Genomic DNA, 17968 nt, shown 5'->3' with positions numbered 1-17968 from the left:
TTTGGAGGACCACATTCTGAGAACTACTGATCTAGAAAGAAGGGCTGCAGGCTCTGAGTGGGCATAGTTTCATTGCCCTCTGGGGAGGGGATCAGCTGAAGGAGAGTCAGGGCAGCGTCTTCTAAAACACGGGGCCCAGCGCAGGGTTCTCACGTCCAGCCTGACTTGGCCGTGGCAGAATATATACCAGGTGGCCTGGGAGACAGCAGGGTCTGATGTACAGTGAGGTGTCTGCGCCTTTCAGTGTAGCCATTCTTCAACACTGGAGTCCAGTCATTTGATCAGGAGACACATACTCCCTAGCAACAGACCAGCAAATTTCCTCCGACCAAGTCCAAGTGCCAGGGGGCACAAGGATGCTCTCATTTCTTCTATCGCCAGGCATGGGATGACACAGCGGCAGGGTCAGCTGAGGTTCCAGAGAGAACAGGGATTACTTTGTTCCCTTTGAGAAATACTAAATTCATTAGAGCACAGAACCTTTTTTTCTGGGGTGTCGTTTATTAACTTGCATCACATGCAAATATTTTGGGAACCGTATTACTGCCCTACTCTAACGGGGGTTCAGCCACCTCCCTCATCAAATTTTTAAAAAGGTAACCAGTGGTCAAATAAAGGATTTATTTTCTTACTTTCTCTAATTCAAGCTCAAAGATGTTAAATAAGTACACTGAAAACAGAACAGACTAAAACCAAAATGACATGGTTACATCACAGTGTTTATTGTCTGCACCTAAGCAGGCAGAAAGGTGATTCTGCAGGCGTTCCAATAAACTGAGCCTGGACTAATTGCAGTTTTGTCCAACAAACAAATTGTTTTTATTTTAAAATCTACTATAGTTATATTTTACAATGGGCATGCCAATGCAGTAGTAGTCTACTTTATTTCAAAAAAAATTCATGCATTCTTCCACTATGACTAAATGAAAATATCAAGATTTTAAAAAAATACCAAGTCTTGAATGATGTGCAAATAAACTAGTCAGTGTCAATGCACCCTCATCCCTACTCAAAAAGACTTCCTCTTCTTCAACTGCTTTTTCTTCCCAATTCCACAGGTCCCCATCAGCCAGAGCAAGAGCCGTCACACTGAGGAAGTGACTTTCTCAAGACCATGCAAGTGAATCCTGCCCTCCCCACCCGCTACCTAATCACCCATTTCTCCCAGACCTCTGGAAGAGCAGCGTGTAGGTGGTATGTGCCAGGAAGTGAAGGGTTAATGCACAGTTTGGCCTTTTGAAATAAAACCCCCTGAATTCGCTCAAGGACGTCCTTTAAATTCCTTTCCTCCAGCACTTTGCAAGCCCATAAATAGCTCCTCTTCAAATACATACTGAAAGCCCAACCTAATACAAGAGGTAAAACTGTTTCTGGGCTGAAGTGCTTATTGTATTTGCACAGGTCAGAGCTATAGTGTTCACTGTTGTCTCAGTTTAAATCAAAGACAAAGGATTCACATACAGCCATCCCATTCTTGAGATTCCCATAAAATGGGGGCATTTTTCTTCACCCATTGCAGCTGCACGTTAAGTACTAGAGGCTGTCTGTTCTTCAACAAGTACAGATTTGAAATGCTCAAATGCCCTGGTCAGAACAGCAATGGCACATTTAGAGGACACTTGAGCCAGGAATGAGAAAAAGGAAATGTTTCCCGCTCTGTTGACGGAACTTGCCTTAGATCACAGGCAAACAGTGATGGTGGCAGACAACAGTGGAAAGAAATCTTCCCTTAGGTGTCCTCTAAGAAGAGACTACATGTTATTTTTCATATGGACTTAGAACTAGAAGAGCTGTTTACATCTCATCTAATTCAACCCTGTAATTTTACAAATAAGAACATCTAGACCCAGCGTTTCCAAGCAGTTTGCCCTAGGTAGGTAGATACGTAGGAGGTATAGGTCCACTGCCAGGAACCAGGTTGTATTATCTGGATTACCAAGACTTCGTTATAAGCACATGTAGAGACCAATAAACGATTTAGACAATTCATACATAGAAGCTTCTGAATTCCTTCTTAAAATGTCAGGATGGTTATCTGAGGTGATTGGATGAACTGTGAGAAAAACATATTATAGACCCTTCGGACATAGTATATGGTTTTCCAGTAATCCTTGTGCTGTGGCTTGAATGTGTCCCCCAAAAAAACATGTGTTGGAAACATAATCCCCAATGCAATAGTGTTGGGATGTGGGCCCTAATAGGAGATATTTAGGTCATGGTGCCAACTATAGAAGGACTTCGGGCTTCAAGTCTTCAAGTTGTCTCTTTTTCTCTGTCTCTCTCTCTCTCGTGCTCTTTTGTTCTTCCACCATGGGATGACAGAGCAAGAACAGCAAGAAGGCCCTCACCAGGTGCTGTCACCTTGATAGGGGACTTCCCAGCCTCCAGAACTGTAAGAAGTTAACCTCTGTTCTTTATAAATTACCCAGTCTATGGTACTCTATTATAGCAGCACAAAACAGATTAAGACAGCTTGTAACAGTCTCTTCTGTTTTTCTCTACATTCCTAATGAATTTTTTTTAAAGCAAAAGAATGATTTTATGACTTTTTTCCAGTCCTTTATATGAGCATTCTCAGATTCATAGCTTGTTTCTTTTGGGTTCTGTTCACATTAGTAATGCCTCTTGCCTGTGGCATAAAGTAAATCTGGACATAACAAGTCTCCAACGCTAGTGAAAAAGAAACACAACTCTGTAGATTATTGAATTAATTGCTGCCCTGAAGGAAAAAAAAAATCCCCTGATGTCTTGTGGCAGCAGTCGACACAGATGGCCCGCTAAAGACAAAAACTTCTGTGGACTGGGAAGAGTCTCCTTCAGAAACACAGCTTCCATTATTTCAAGAGGGCATTTAAGGACACTTACTCCTGGCTTCTGGACTTTGCCGGGCGGAATTATTGTTTGCCTAGTGGCGCTGTCCACTAGAGGGAGTCAGGGTCCTTCCACGGAACTCTACAGGGAAGAACTTCAAACGAATGCAGCCATCTGAAATACAATGACGGGAGCAAGGAGGGGATAAGGGTGTCACTTCTACCTGGGACACATCTCACTTTGGAGAGCACTTTATTCATGGATGTGTTTCTTCCTTTGACAGATCATCACTGAGGGGAGATACAGTGTATTAGACAATAGGGAACACTACATCAACACTCACAGAAGGGCCAGCCTTACTCTCATTCTGGAATAATGCATGGAAGATAGAAACTAGGAAGCCTGCAAACTCGGTTTACTAGTTGAAAATTGGTCAACTTTCATCTGACTTACCTAAGTGATAACCTAAGCAGGTGTCAACAGCAGTTGCTTGATATCTCTGGCTTCAAACATCCTCAAAAATAGCTAACATTTCAACAAGCAAGCAAAGCAAGAGCCCCTTATCTCTTCAAAAGTATAACTGCTGCCTGTAGCCAATTCCTGCAGTTCAGTGTCAAAGAGACCCTTCTTTTTTCTCTTTTTCTTTAAGAAGAAAAGGATCTCACTATGTTGCCCAGACTGGACTCTGGACTTGAGCTCCTGGACTCACACAATCCTTGAGGCCTAATCTCATTCCCAAGTAGCTGGGACTATAGGCTCAAGCCACTGTACCTAGCCACAAAGAGACATTTCTTGTGGTCTTCAAGAATCCCCTATTATGATAAAATGCCCTAGAGGTCCAGCATGGTGGCTTACACCTGTAGTTCCAGCAATTTGTGAGCCCGAGGTGGGTGGATCACTTGAGCCCAGGAGCTCAAGACAAGCCTGAGCAACATGAAAAAACCCTATCTGTAGAAAAAATACAAAAATTAGCTGGGTGTGTTGGCATGTGCTTGTAGTCACAGCTACTCAGGAGGCTGAGGTGGGAGGACTGCATGAGCCTGGGACGTAGAGGTTGTAGTGAGCTAAGATCACACCACTGTACTCCAGCCTGGGCAACAGAGCAAAACTCTATCTCAATAAAATAAAATAAAATGCCCCAGACATATGGGGGAAAGTATTTGTTATAGTATTATTTACAATAGCAAAATTGGAAAGGTCTATATCAAAGGAATGGTAGAGTAAATTATGATGAAGCCACATAATACAATATGATGAATCCTTTAAAATCATGCTTCAATAATAACTTCAGTGACTTGGGAAATAATTATAAATTAGTGTCAAGTGAAAAATAGCATATTAAAGAACTGATGTACAAAATGATCTCAATTATTGTAATTTTTTTAAAGCAAAGGTACCAAAAGTCTAAGACAAATATCTCTGAAAGGTAGGATTACAGATGAATTTACATCATGCCTCCAATGTTTTTGTATTTAAAAACACTATTAAAATAAATGTTTTTAAAATTTATAACTGGAAAGAAGTAATTTTGGATTTATATACCAATACTCCTGAAAAAATGGCAACAGACTTTTTTTGGTTCTCTATAAATTTTGCTAGTGAGCTACAGGATTATACCAACTGCATTGTTAACAGTCATTCTGGAACTCACCTAGAGATAGGCTGTACAGAAAGGGAAAAACTGCAGGTTACCAGGATCTGGAATAAGTTGAATCAGAAAGGAAAGGTTATAAAAATTTGGGGAAGGGAGATGGGATTCATCAATAGGCAGATGTGTGTAAAGAAATTAAGTAAATCAAGATTACAACAAATGGGCATAAAACCACTTGGACATAGGGAAAGTTGTAGAGGTGAAGACAGAGTGCTCTGTCTTAAGTAAATGTCAGGAGGGCCCACAGCTGAGTAAGAGCTTAGTGCCGTGGAGAAATCCTGAAACCATTCCCGCTGTCATCCTCACATTGCCCTGAAGACACAACCCACACTGTGCACCGTGGGGGGAAATGGAAACCATGAAATTGACCACATCAGCCACGTAGACTAATCGCTAGACTTTGAACTTGTAAATGTTCCTATGATGCTCTCCAACTTTCTTATCTTTTTGTCATGGACCTTGTTTGCCTGCCTAGACTTAAAAATTGTAAATGATTAACTGGTGGAAATGAAATTCCTAGTCCTTTTGGTGGTTTCCCCAAACAGATACTTTCCCTTAACAGCCAATAGTGGGTTTTTGTGTGTGGTTTTTTTGTTTGTTTGTTTGTTTGTTTGTTTGAGAAACTTATCTTCCAAATTGCTAAAATTGGTCCTTTTGGAAAAAGTATATATATTTATTTAGCTCAAGGAATTGTTGTTATTGCTTCAGGGCAACACAGAACGGCATAGTCACAGTTCCTCAGTGCAATTACCACAGTCTTATTTGGAGCCTGATTTAGCAACCAGCGTGGGAGCCAAGGCAAACAGAAAACCATGAGAAGATGCTTCCCCTTGGGGAAGAAAAAAAGGACACATTTTAGACATTATGAGAGGGAAAGAGACACTGTCCTTCATATGCCTGGAAACCCTGGAGAACTGGAGCTATCACAATCATAGTGCACCAAGTGGGAACTGTCTGTATGACAGATTCTCCGAGGAGATAGCACAATGTTTTTGTAAATGTATGACAAGAAGCAGCAGCCCAAATAGAAGGGACATGTTGAACATCCCTAATCTGAAAGTCCAAAATCTGAACTGCTCTAAAATTTGAAACTTTTTGAGCACCAATGTGACTCTACAAGTGGAAAATTATGCACCTGACATCATGTGATGAATTCTAGTCAAAACTCAGTCAGTACTTTGTTTCATGCACAAATTGTTTAAAATATTGTATAAAACTACCTCCAGGTTATGATATAAGGTGAATATAAAACATAAATAAATGTTGTGTTTAGATTTGGGTCCCACCCTATTCCAAAATTTAAAAAAATCCAAAATCTGAAACACTTCAGCATTTCAAATAAGGGATTCTCAACCTGTGTTAAGCCATTTACTATGTCTCAATTAGATTAGCCAAAACAGCCTCTTTGAAGCCACTGTTTAGAATATTACACCTTCCATAACTTGGAATTATTTGAATTCCAAGCCTTTAAATGTTGGGTTTTTTAAAATTAAGTACTTAATTAAGTACTTTGAATTAAGTACTGTAAGTACTTAATTTTTTACTTAAGTACTATACTATAATATACTTAATTCAAAAAAATTAAGTACTATAAGTACTTTGAATTAAGTATTAGAGCATAGAAAAACTTTCAACCATGCCCACTGTCTTAGCTCAGATTTCCTAGAAGCAGATCCTAAAATGAGGATCTTATTCAGTGACTTATTGGCTTGTACCCTCAGAAAAGGCCGGGCACAGTGGCTCACGCCTATAATCCCAATGGTTTGGGAGGCCAAGGTGGGCAGATCACTTGAAATCAGGACCTGAGACCAGCCTGGCCAACATGGTGAGACCCCATCTCTACTAAAAATACAAAAATTAGCCAGGCGTGCTGGCACACGCCTGTAATCCCAGCTACTCGTGAGGCTGAAGTAGGAGATTCACTTGAACCCAGGAAGCAGAGGTTTTAGTGAACCGAGATCGCACCACTGCACTCCAGTCTGTGCGACAGAGCAAGACTACATCTCAAAAAAGAAAGAAAGAAAGGAGAATAAGAGAAAAGGGGAGGTTTGGGGTTGGGGAAGCTAAGCGAGAATGTAGTCTCCGATGGAGACCGCATGGGGACACCCTGGAGTACATTGCACCAGAGCTGCATCCTACCTTGAGGTGAAGGGGCTGGTTTGAGCTTGTCCAACGTCCGCCAAGGCCTGTTAGGGTGGGTGGGTGGGTTATGCAAGGCTCCTAGGTCTGACAGGGGGAATGGGGGATTCTTTAGAATGGAGGCAGCTGTGAGTTGTTAGAAGATACAGGCTGATGAGCTGGCACGTGGAGAGAATGTAATTGGGGCAGCAACGGCCTCTACTCTATCAAGCAGCCATAACTACAAAAGCATCAGGCTGTAAACCAAAAAGTGTCTGAGACAGGTCTCAATCAGTTTACAAGTTTATTTTGCCAAAGTTAAGGATGCACTGGGGAGACAGGTCTGTCCCTTTCTCCAAAGATGATGTTGAGGGTTTTAGTTTTAAAGGGGAAAAGCAGGCTAGAGGAAAAGCGGGAGGCCGTGGTAATCTACAGGTTGCAAGAGAAAAGGAGCAGGTAGGGGAAGAGGCAGTGACACATGCTCCTGAGCTCAGTAAATCGGCACTTCTCACAAGATAAAATGAACATAGAGTTGCTCCCTGTGGAGATAGTTAACCTTTTATCTGTAGCTGTCTACTTAGGAACAAAAGGGAAAGTATCTTCTTGCATGATTCAGCTTTCAGCTTACTTTTTTTTCTTTTGGGAGCATGAATTGGGGTCCTGGGTTTTTATTTTTCTTTTATAAGGCTGTGCCCTGATAGTAGCTTGGCAGAGCAGCGGCTGAAGACGATAGGAAGCTACTGTAGACATTCGCTAAAACCCATTCCTATCTTACCAGAAAGTCCTTCCTGTCCTGGCAGTTTAGAAAATGAAGTTAAAGCCACAGTAAGATTCTCAGGGAGCGTGAGTCAGACAGCGGTAGAGAGGTGCTTGCTAGGCTCTTCCAAGCTTGGTAACATCAAACAAGTTACTCACTTTCTCTTAACCTCGATTTCTCATTTATAAATTAATAAATATAAATACCTGTATTAGTAGAGATAATAACACTACCTTAGTATGTGGTAAGTATTAAGCAAGACCTTATATGTTAACGAGCTTAGCCCAGTACCTAGCACATAGTAAAGGCTCTATAATTAGGAGTTATTATTAATTTGGAAAGCAACATTTCCAATAATATTGGAATTATTGATTGATAATTGACCCAGGCCGGGTGTGGTAGCATGCGCCTGTAATCCCAGCTACTCAGGAGGCTGAGGCAGGAGAATTGCTTGAACCTGGGAGGTGGAGGCTGCAGTGAGCGGAGGTTTGAGGCACCACTGCACTCCAGCCTGGACAACAGAGTGAGACTCTGTCTCAAAATAAATAAATAAAAAAGATAATTGATCCAAATTGAAAAGTGATGTCACATCAACAGGAACTCTAACAATGATACCAATACCTCCCATAGGTATCTCTGGTATGATTCAGATTAGCATGCGTTTTCGCATGCATAGTCCCATTGTCCCCATTTTACAGCTGAGAAAACAAAGACTCAACTGAGAAAGCCCATCAGGAAAAGCCTCTGGCACCACAACCACGTGGTAGAAGTCTCTTGAAGATCTCTCTTTCTTGCTGCTCACAAAGTTCCATCAACTCCAAGGTGACAGATTTACCAGTTTTTCCAAAAGGTTGAGTGACGTCTAAATTTCTTGTTGGAAAGTACTACCCATACTTGGTATTTTATCCATCCTGAAATGAATGAATCACTGAATCACAAGGGAATGGCAATGTGTGATCATCACACATTGAATGGCTTCCCCGAGGTTGAAATATTGATTTATCTGTGTAGCGAGGGAGCCCAAGCTCATCTCCCATCCTTACTCACGTAAGCTTTGCACACGGACTGGAGAGAATTGTATCTGTTAGTCTGAAAACCAGAACCCAAAAGCAGCAAGAAGCAGGAGGAGATTCAACCCAAATAACCTCTGCCTACTCTTTCAGCTCAGAAATTGGCCAACAAGTGCAAAAAAAAAAAAAAAAAAAAACCTAAAAATGTGAGCACGCATTGCTTTGCAATGTGCCATCGAAGTCACAGCACAACCATTTGGAAAAAGTGAAATGGGTCCTCATTTTCTCTTTGTATGGCTAGTTCAAAAGCAAAAAAGTTTTTTTTAAAATTTTTTTCTTTCTAAGACTACGTGAGAGTAAACAACAAATTTAGCTAACTTTTTTCCCCTACTGAAGTTTTGTGAGTGTCACATAATCATTTGTGTAGTCAAAGCACCCATTAGTCCACATAGGTGGGTAATTTTCTGCAAGTCACAACTTTCCTTTGCAATGTGTTCCTAAGCTCTACAGTTTTCTCTTCCAGGAATTTGTTCCTCATATTGGACCTAGACTGTTTCTCTCAAAATACTCTCTTATTTTGTTCTTAATAAAAGAAAGAACACTACATTACTAGATACAATAAAATAATATACCTTCATCTGTGTGGAACATGCTGGTCTACTTCCTCAAACTTCTCCCATGTCATTCAAATAACCTCCAGTTCTGAACTTTCTCATCTCTTCCCTATACATTACATGTAGGTCACCCTCCCTTTGCTTCCAAAGTTCCATATAGTTCTGAAATTGTGTGCTCCAGGACTGGTGTGGTCTTTCCAGGTTCTTTGTCAAAGATCCCCCACAGAGAGCCGGATTCAAGGCCACCTGGATAGGGCCATTCAAGATATTTGGGAGACACCAATCTCCTCTGAGTACAGTGGTTAAGATTGTGGTGAGGTGGGGGAACAGATCTGGGTTTAAATCTCATTGCCATTTACTAGTTGTTCCTACTTGGAACGTCTCCATGCTCATGAAATTGGGCTAATAGTTGTGTCTATTTTATAAAATTGTTATGAAGGTGGAATGGGACAAAACTGTGAAATAATAGGCATTCAAGGCCGGGTGCGGTGGCTCACGTCTGTAATCTCAGCACTTAGGGATGTCGAGGCAGGCAGATCACCTGAGGTCAGGAGATCGAGACCAGCCTGGCCAACATGGTGAAATCCCATCTCTACTAAAAATGCAAAAATTAACCAGGCATGGTGGCAGGCACCCGTAGTCCCAGTTACTCAGGAGGCTGAGGCAGGAGAATCACTTGAACCCAGGAGACAGAGGTTGCAGTGAACCGAGATTGTGCCACTGCACTCCAACCTGGGTGAAAGAGCGAGACTGTTTCCAAAAAAAAAAAAAAAAAAAAAGGCATTCAAACACTAATATTACTGATAAAGTAGTAAAGGTTAGTTATTGCTATTGCTATGATGTCATCTGCTGTTTGCCTGACTTCTATTGATGAATGAAATATTATAATATTTTGAGTTCATATATATTCCTTCCTAATCTTTCGATTTTCCCTTTTGAATGTGTTAATGTAATGAATGTCATTGACATTCTTGGGCTGAAAATATATTCTGTCTCCCCTGAGTCATTCAAAGAACCTTCTGGCTAGATCACACCCAGTCCGGCGCATCTGAGCAGCACACTGAGGCTTTAGGACAGGTAGGAGACAAAGTCAGTCTTTTGAGGAAGCCACTCTTCTAATAGCTTTATAATTGATCCCTGGCTCATGCTCTGAAAGAAATCAAGAGTTCAGAGGGAAATTCAGCACAGAGCAGGTATTATTTCGATTTAGAATAATAGAGTTCCCCAACATTACTGGTAGAAGAAGTCTTAGAGTCCGTCTTTCAACCCAATGCACAAATTGACTTCACAGTGCCCTTGAAAAGTGATCATTCAGTTCAGTCAATTTTAGGTAGAATTTAGAAAGTTCTTCCATATTTTGAGCAAAAGCATTCTTTACCATGACTTCTACTCATCAGTTCTCACTCCGCCTTTAACATCGTACATCTGCCTCACATCATCTCTCAGGGTTAAATCCCTCTGCTATGAGATAAATCTTTCACACTGAAAGTATCCATCAGGTCCATTCTACACCCTCCTCATCACTCTCCAGGTGACCATTTTTTCAAAGTAAATATCCCCAATTCTTGTGTTAAAATTAAAAAAAAAACGCTTGCACTTAAAGTAATTGCTGTGAGTACATTGTCAGCAGAAAAGGGTTATTAAAAATCTAATTCTCTATACATAATACACACAAATACTTATTTATACATGATCATATATATGTACACACACAATTACACACACACACATGATTACACACACACACTTTTGGACCTGACCCCAACTACCATTTTGCAGCAAAGAGCCTATGGTGGTTTCCTTCCATAGTCCTTTTGCTTTCTTGCTTTCTTACCCAGAAATTTACTTATTGAAAGAGAACTCAGATATTTGAGGATGAGAAATATAACAGAATGCACCAAATATTGCCATTCTGTAGGTAACTTCCCATGAGTTGTGTCTCACATGGACAATAGCTTGTTTGGATATGCCCAAAATTTCCAGGGTCAATGGAAGTCACCATGCCATTGTCAAAGATCTCACCTTCCCCACTCCAACCCCCTCCCCCAAACCCTGTTTAAAGCAAATAATCAAACAGGTAATTTAGGAGGCTAGTATGGTTTTCTACAATTACAGGAAGACATTTGGCTGTGTGCCTTCCTTAGCTTGACACATATTACTGGTTTCAGGGAGGAAATTATTCCATGGAAAGAAATGACTAACGTATCTACTTTAGATATTAGGATATCACATTAATATAGATAAGTATACGTTAGCAAAAAATAAAGAAAAAAGAATCTATTATAGCCATAGTGGGCATTAGTAACAGGACACAGACAGCAACAACAGAATGAAGTGTTTCTCAGTTGCAGTGCAGAGTTTTTTATGTAGCATTTACCTTAAAATATCTTTAAGGAAGAATAAATTAACTGGAAGGAACTAGGTGGCATGTATGGTCATTATCCTAGTATCTTGAATGGGCAGAGCATGTAATTCATACCCTGTAGAATAGAATGGTGACCAAACAGACCTAATTCGTTTTGGATATTTACACTGATCCATTTGGATCAGTGTAAAGATACACTGATGTATTTCCCCCTAAAAGGTTGCACCATGTAGAATACCTACTTAAAGCTCAAGGCTAATTTGATTTCAGGGTTTAGGATAAGTGGTAAGTAATTCACATATTTGACTTTCTCATAGCTGCCGCTATTTTATTCTCCTAAGTGTGCTTAATTTAAGAAAATTCTAGACTCTTGAGCATTACCTCCAGGGAAGTTGTTATAAATTCAAAACTCTAACCTCAAAAAGAATTATAGGATCTTAAGGCAAATTTTCAGCCAGACCTTGACTATTAGGGTTTTCCTTCTTCTTCCTCCTTTTTTTTAATTTTAATTTTTATTTTTTATTTGACGGAGTCTTGCTGTGTCACCCAGGCTGGAGGGCAGGGGTGCTGTCTCAGCTCACTACTACAGCCTCTGCCTCCCAGGTTCAAGCAATTCTATCTTAGCCTCCCGAGTAGCTGGGATTACAGGTGTGCTCCACCACACACGGCTAATTTTTGTATTTTTAGTAGAGACAAGGTTTCACCATGTTGGTTGGCCAGGCTGGCCTCAAACTCCTAACCTCAAGTGATCTGCCCACCTTGGCCTCCCAAAGTGCTGGGATGACCGACGTGAGCCACTGCGCCCGACCTCCTCCTTCTTTATAAATAAGGAATTTTTTAAACAAGTCTATCCAATGCCAAAAAGGCAAGAATTGATACAATACAGTTTTTTTTTTTTAAGCACATGCTGTTTCTCTGGTTAAAAACATTGTAAGCCTGACATCCCCCTAGGATTTCTTAAAATTATTTCATTAAAAAATCACAGTGACATAGAGTTGTGAGTGAGGCACCCTTATAAGATTAATTTCAGTATCCAGCTGCTCAGATGCTTGATGTCGTTTTATTCACTCTGTTGTTGACACCACATATTAGAAAGGAAAAGAAAAATAGAATTTCAGTGTAATGAGTTTGAGAATATTATTACCTTATCAACACTATACAACATGAAATATTTTAAGGAACCTAATGGAGTTTATTGTGAGCTTGTCCTAAGCACCATGCGGTGCATATTTTTCAAATAATAAAAGACCTGCAGAAACCCCATAATGGCTTGTTTTTGTCAGTGGGCCATGAAGCCACTTAGTTATACATAGGCTTTTGCCAGGAATTTTAATCTCCTTAATGTGATCCACAAGATGTGACCAGTTGTCACATTCATCATGAAGAACAATAGTATACTTATAGTTTGTTAAAGCCAAGGAAAATTCTTAGGGTTAAATGTCAATAAACCCTGTCTCTAAATGGCCTCAAGTGAAGTCAAGATATAGCCAATGTTCTGTTCTTATGTCCAAGACAGAGAGGCAAATCAGATCATTATCAAATCAATTCAAATCTATCTTGCTTGGAAGTATCACATTTTAGCTGCCTATCTTGGTCTTCGTTCTACCTGGTGCTGAAAAGAGGCATCCATATTCTTAAAGCATAGCTTCCATTCTATCTCAGATCCTTACTCAACTGATACAGAGAAAAATCCATAAAGGAATGAAGAAAAAGTGTGTATAGGATATAAATACTTGGAGTTACCTGGTTATTTCCTAAGGTAATAGAAGCCTCTCTGTATTTCCAAAAAAGCCTCAGAAAAAAAATATATATTGCTAAATGTTTATTACAGTGCTGCCATTCTCTGATTTTTATAATAAAAATGGCAAGATCATTCTAGATGAGTAGATTAGATCTATTTTTTACCTACTCACAAAATAAAAAGTCTGTCTGCTTAGTGGAAAGGCCCCCTCTGTGTCCTGCACTGAGTGGAAAGGCTTGTTCCAGAGATAACATGGTTAGTTTCCTGGTTACATGGTCTGAAGACAGTTATGGCTTGCAAATATTCCCATTCAATCATCAATTGGCTACTGCAATTGGAAAAAGTAGTGTGGGCCTTGGATTTATTGGGGGTTTGACTATTCTCTGGAGGCTTTATAAAATTTTTTTAGCATTCAATGAATAACACTGTGAAGTTAGAGGTTTAGTTCAGCACAAGATTTACCTGACTTTTGGTCTTAAAGCCATTTTTTGTTTAAAGCCATTCTGGTTTTAAAACCAAAATGACCTCCTTGGCCATCCCTGTGTTTTCAGCAAGTAGACCTAAAATCCAACAATTTGATATGAATAATTTACAATTATCTCCATTTCCCAACAGCCAAGCAAAAGCCTCACAGATTATGTCATCTTATCAAAAAAACTGCCTATAAGTACATATATAAGTAAGGGAGCTGATCAAAAAGAGATACAGATCATTTGAAAACTAAAAAGCACATTTAGGAGAAGAGATAAGGATATTAAGACATAGAATCAACATGCAATAAAGCCCAAATGTTTATGGGAGACTGTTTCATAGCCCTTTATTTCTCGTATGGAATTGTCACGCAATGTTAGAGATAGACAATAACTCCTAGGCAAATCTCTTATGGAGTGAGTGAATAAAATTCACCACGCTACTAACCTCTGCTGAAATAACTTTGGAGAAATACCACTGAAGTATTCCTTTCCATTTTTTGATAATCACAGAAGTGCTTCTATATATTAAGCAAAATTCTATCTGTAATTTCCAAATCGAACTCAGTTTTCTCCTCTTCCCCCCAACTACCATTCAACCATTGGGTAGGATGGTAACTCTCAAAGACCCCTCCCAGGGGGTCTCTGCATAAAGCTGTATATCCCCATCTAATTTATGCATTTGTTCATTCATTCAATATTTCTTGAATATCTATTATATAGTAGGTACCGGGGACATAAAACAAACAAGGCATAATTCCTGCCCTCAAGGAGCTAACAGTGGAGATTAACACATAAAAAGAAATTAGCCATAGAGTATGGTACATGCTTCCATAGAGGTTGGTCAGGCTTTGTGACAACACAGAGTAGGGACTTAAGGAGGTGACTAGAGAAACCTCTAAGAAAGGAAGACACTTGAGATGAATTTTAATGATCAAGTGGAAGTTAACTAGGTGATTAATAATAAAAGCAAAAATGATCACATTTTTCCTGTGCAGGCACTGAGCTCCTTATAGACATAATCTCACCGCAGCCTCCACCTCCCAGGCTCAAGTGATCCTCCCACCTCAGCCTCCTGGGTAGCTGGGACCACAGGTGTGTGCCACCACAGCCAGGTAATTTTTCATTTTTTTGTAAAGACGGGATCTCCCTATGTTGCCTAGGCTGGTCTCAAACTCCTGGGCTCAAGCAATCCTCCTGCCTCGGCCTCTCAAAGTGCCGGGATTACAGGCCACTGTGCCTGGCCTTCTTGAAAGATCTTAAATTGTACAGGAGAAACTTGAGGATATTTATATGCTAAGGCTCTAGTTTATTTATCTTTGATTTTCTTTGAGACCTGGTGTTGCCAGTTTAACCATTCCATTGAACAGGGGACTAAACAGCAGTTAGTGACAGGTAGTCACTACTCACTAGGTTTCAGCATTTATTAGCTGGTGAAAGCAAGACTTAGTGAGCAGGCACAGAAACTCTCATTCACCTGTTGATGTCTAGTCCTGCTCTCTGATCCTGGACACTCTGGTAAGCACCTTGCACTGAAAATGCACATAAAAATGTACACTGCAATGGAATGCCACCATATTTTAAAGACAGGACAACAGAGTCCTACATACAGTATGAAAGGGGGGATGTAGGGGCCTCAGGAAGCATGGGGCTCTGTACCTGTAGTTTGTCTATGGGAGTATTGTCTTTGGCTTGCTGCATTCTTAAACCTTGTTCCAGCTGGGGTGGTGGGAAGCACACTCTTTCCAGTCAAAATCATCCCTTGAAAGCTACCATTCCACCAGGGAAATTTTTACTTCCACCATCTCTTATGCTAATGAACACACCGTTTGTGGGGTAGATTTCAATAACAATATTTGAAGTGCTAAGTAACCCCCTCCTAAGTGTGGATCCCTAATTAGGATGTTTCAAATGCTAACTAACAACTCTTGGAACGTGGATGTCTGATTAGGGTACTTCAAATACCTCCTCCTTCCTCCCTCCTCCTAGGGTGTCGATTGCACGAAAGTATTTTAAAGTAAATCAGCACAGAGATGATGTCATCCCTACATAGGACTTGCTAGTGAAAACAAGAGAAAAAAGTGTCCCTTTGTGTGCGTGAGATACTCGTCACAAGGACAAGTAGAGACAAGCTTGGAGTGATGTGGCCCCAGTCATTTCCTCTTCCCGAATGGGTATGCAGATGATGAGTTAGTAAAGCATGAGTCTCTGTATCCCTTTGTCTGAAAACCCACATGACACATGCTGGCTCTACAAACACCACCATTATCCCTCATGACTTTTCCATAGCTGAGCAGTGCTGACGTAGAGGAGTCAAGGCGCAGACAGGCTGCCACCCTGAAAAATAAGAGCACTACCCGAAACAAAGGCCCCGGGTAGCATCATGATTTTATGTGGCTGGGCTTGAGACAGATGGCACATTCACTGGGCTCTGATTGGGAAAGGGTACTTATTCTGGGCTAAAGAGAAGACCCTGCCACCCTGGGCAAGCTGATGGAGCCAGGATGCCTCCCCCTGAGTGAGATGTGGCCTGTCTGTATTTTGTTTAAGTGTGACACCTTCAACTCAACATCACACTTCTGGGATAGCACAGAATCACTGAGGACCCTTAGGTGTCCCATGAAAGCTCTGGACCCAATATGCAGAAAAAAGAAAAAACGAAGAGCACATACGCATATACATACTTTTGTACATAATTACATAATTTCAGGAGGATTATGAACTCCCTCATCCCTTTCTAAAATATATTTTTTTGGAAATAGAGTCTCGCTCTCTTGTCCAGGCTGGAGTGCAATGACACAATCTTGGCTCACTGCAACCTCCGCCTATGGGTTCAAGTGATTCTCCTGCCTTAACCTCCAGAATAGCTGGAACTACAGGCGCTCGCCACCATGCCCAGCTAATTTTTGTATTTTTGTTAGTAGAGACAGGGTTTTACCATGTTGGCCAGGGTGGTCTTGAACTCCCGACCTCAAGTGATCTGCTTGCTTCAGCCTCCCAAAGTGCTGGGATTACAGGCATGAGCCACCATGCCTGGAGCTTTCTAAAATATTATGTGCCTTTCAGTGCAATCTAAAATTATTTTTTTTTAGGGCAAAATATTGCAATAAAATAAATAAATTTTTCATAATGTCAATTCATTTCAAATTGGATTTTAGCTTAAAATAAAGAATTTTCTGGTCTTGGGAATGTCCAACAGTGGCCTAAATGGTCCTGATTTCCTTTGTTACTGAACCAACCTTGGGTCCACGCACTGGGCTCTGCAAAGCCAATACTCACATCAGGATTGCAGCAAGAGAAAGTGGGAGATTTATTGCAGGATGCCCAGGAAGGAGAATTGACAGCATGTGGTTAAGATGTGAATTCCCTGACAGTTTACAGGTAAGGGACTTCAAAGGTGGGGAGCCAGAGGTGACAAGCAAAGCCATAAATCAATACATGAAGGCGACATATTGGTTTGACCTAAAAAGGGGGAACATCTCAAAGCAGGTATGCTGGGGTAGATTAGAAGATATTTTATTTTACTTTGAGACGAGTTTCACTCTTTTTGCCCAGACTGGAGTACAATGATGCGATCTTGGCTCACTGCAACCTCTGCCTCCTGGGTTCAAGTGAGTCTCCTACCTCAGCCTCCCAAGTAGCTGGGATAACAGAAGCACACCACCATGCCTGGCCACTTTTGTATTTTTAGTAGAAACGGGGTTTCACCATGTTGGCCAGGCTGGTCTCGAACTCCTGACCTCAGGTGATCCACCACCTCGGTCTCCCAAAGTGCTGGGATTACAGGCATGAGCCACCACGCCCGGCCAGATTAGAAGATTTTCTGATTTGAGATTGGTTAAGGAGCTGAAGCTTTCTCTAAAAATTTGGGGCCAGCAGAAAAGAATGTTAGCTCTGGCTCGTGGGTGTGACCTCCTCCAGGACCCCAGGAAGAAATTTAGATAAAGAATGGCGGTCAGAGTTCAGTCCTCAGCTTCCCCTTCTCTGAGGTCTACATTCTAGCAGATGGTATTTTCCATTCGGTGGCGTCTGGGTTTCTGAAAAACAGCTCAGGGACGCATGTTAAGATGTCGTCTTTAGTTTCTATAGTTTCTATAGTCACAAAACATTTTGTGACTCTAACTTCCTTGGTGATTGTTTTAAGCTATTACCTTTTTAAATGTTTTGTATTTTTTTTCATGATGTCTTCTGACAGAGGGTTGATATAATCTTTTTTTAAAAATTTTGAGTTCCCAGGTACATGTGCAGGATGTTCAGGTTTACATACTCAGCAAATCTTCTCGATTATAAAGTTCCTCATCTACTTCTCAAGGCTAGCTAGGTTCCTGGAACTTCCCTTGAATGAACTCTAAATTTTTCTTTCTTTCCATGCTTGGGAAGATTGTTGGGGTGACTGGCAGGCCCCTATGGGGGGTCCCTGCTCTGTCTAAC

At 40.8% G+C, this 17968-nt stretch overlaps 4 annotated features.

Annotated features, from left to right (window-relative positions):
* Positions 14956-16155: an enhancer, noted in NCBI's record as "MED14-independent group 3 enhancer chr10:25356859-25358058 (GRCh37/hg19 assembly coordinates)". NCBI's record gives its function as "activates an origin of replication core promoter dependent on BRD2, BRD4, P300/CBP and CDK7 cofactors, and independent of MED14, by STARR-seq in HCT116 cells {active_cell/tissue: HCT116}" and the evidence as "EXISTENCE:reporter gene assay evidence [ECO:0000049][PMID:35650434]".
* Positions 14956-16332: a biological region, named in NCBI's record as "MED14-independent group 3 enhancer GRCh37_chr10:25356859-25358058".
* Positions 15214-15772: an enhancer, noted in NCBI's record as "NANOG-H3K27ac hESC enhancer chr10:25357242-25357800 (GRCh37/hg19 assembly coordinates)". NCBI's record gives its function as "activates a minimal SCP1, AML or CMV promoter by ChIP-STARR-seq in naive H9 embryonic stem cells {active_cell/tissue: H9 hESC(naive)}" and the evidence as "EXISTENCE:reporter gene assay evidence [ECO:0000049][PMID:30033119]".
* Positions 15773-16332: an enhancer, noted in NCBI's record as "NANOG-H3K27ac hESC enhancer chr10:25356682-25357241 (GRCh37/hg19 assembly coordinates)". NCBI's record gives its function as "activates a minimal SCP1, AML or CMV promoter by ChIP-STARR-seq in naive and primed H9 embryonic stem cells {active_cell/tissue: H9 hESC(naive and primed)}" and the evidence as "EXISTENCE:reporter gene assay evidence [ECO:0000049][PMID:30033119]".

This window comes from Homo sapiens, chromosome 10 (genome assembly GCF_000001405.40).
Source record: "Homo sapiens chromosome 10, GRCh38.p14 Primary Assembly".
NCBI classification, from domain to species: domain Eukaryota; kingdom Metazoa; phylum Chordata; class Mammalia; order Primates; family Hominidae; genus Homo; species Homo sapiens.
Note: the sequence above shows the minus strand (reverse complement) of the source record. Positions and strands in the feature narration are given on the sequence as shown.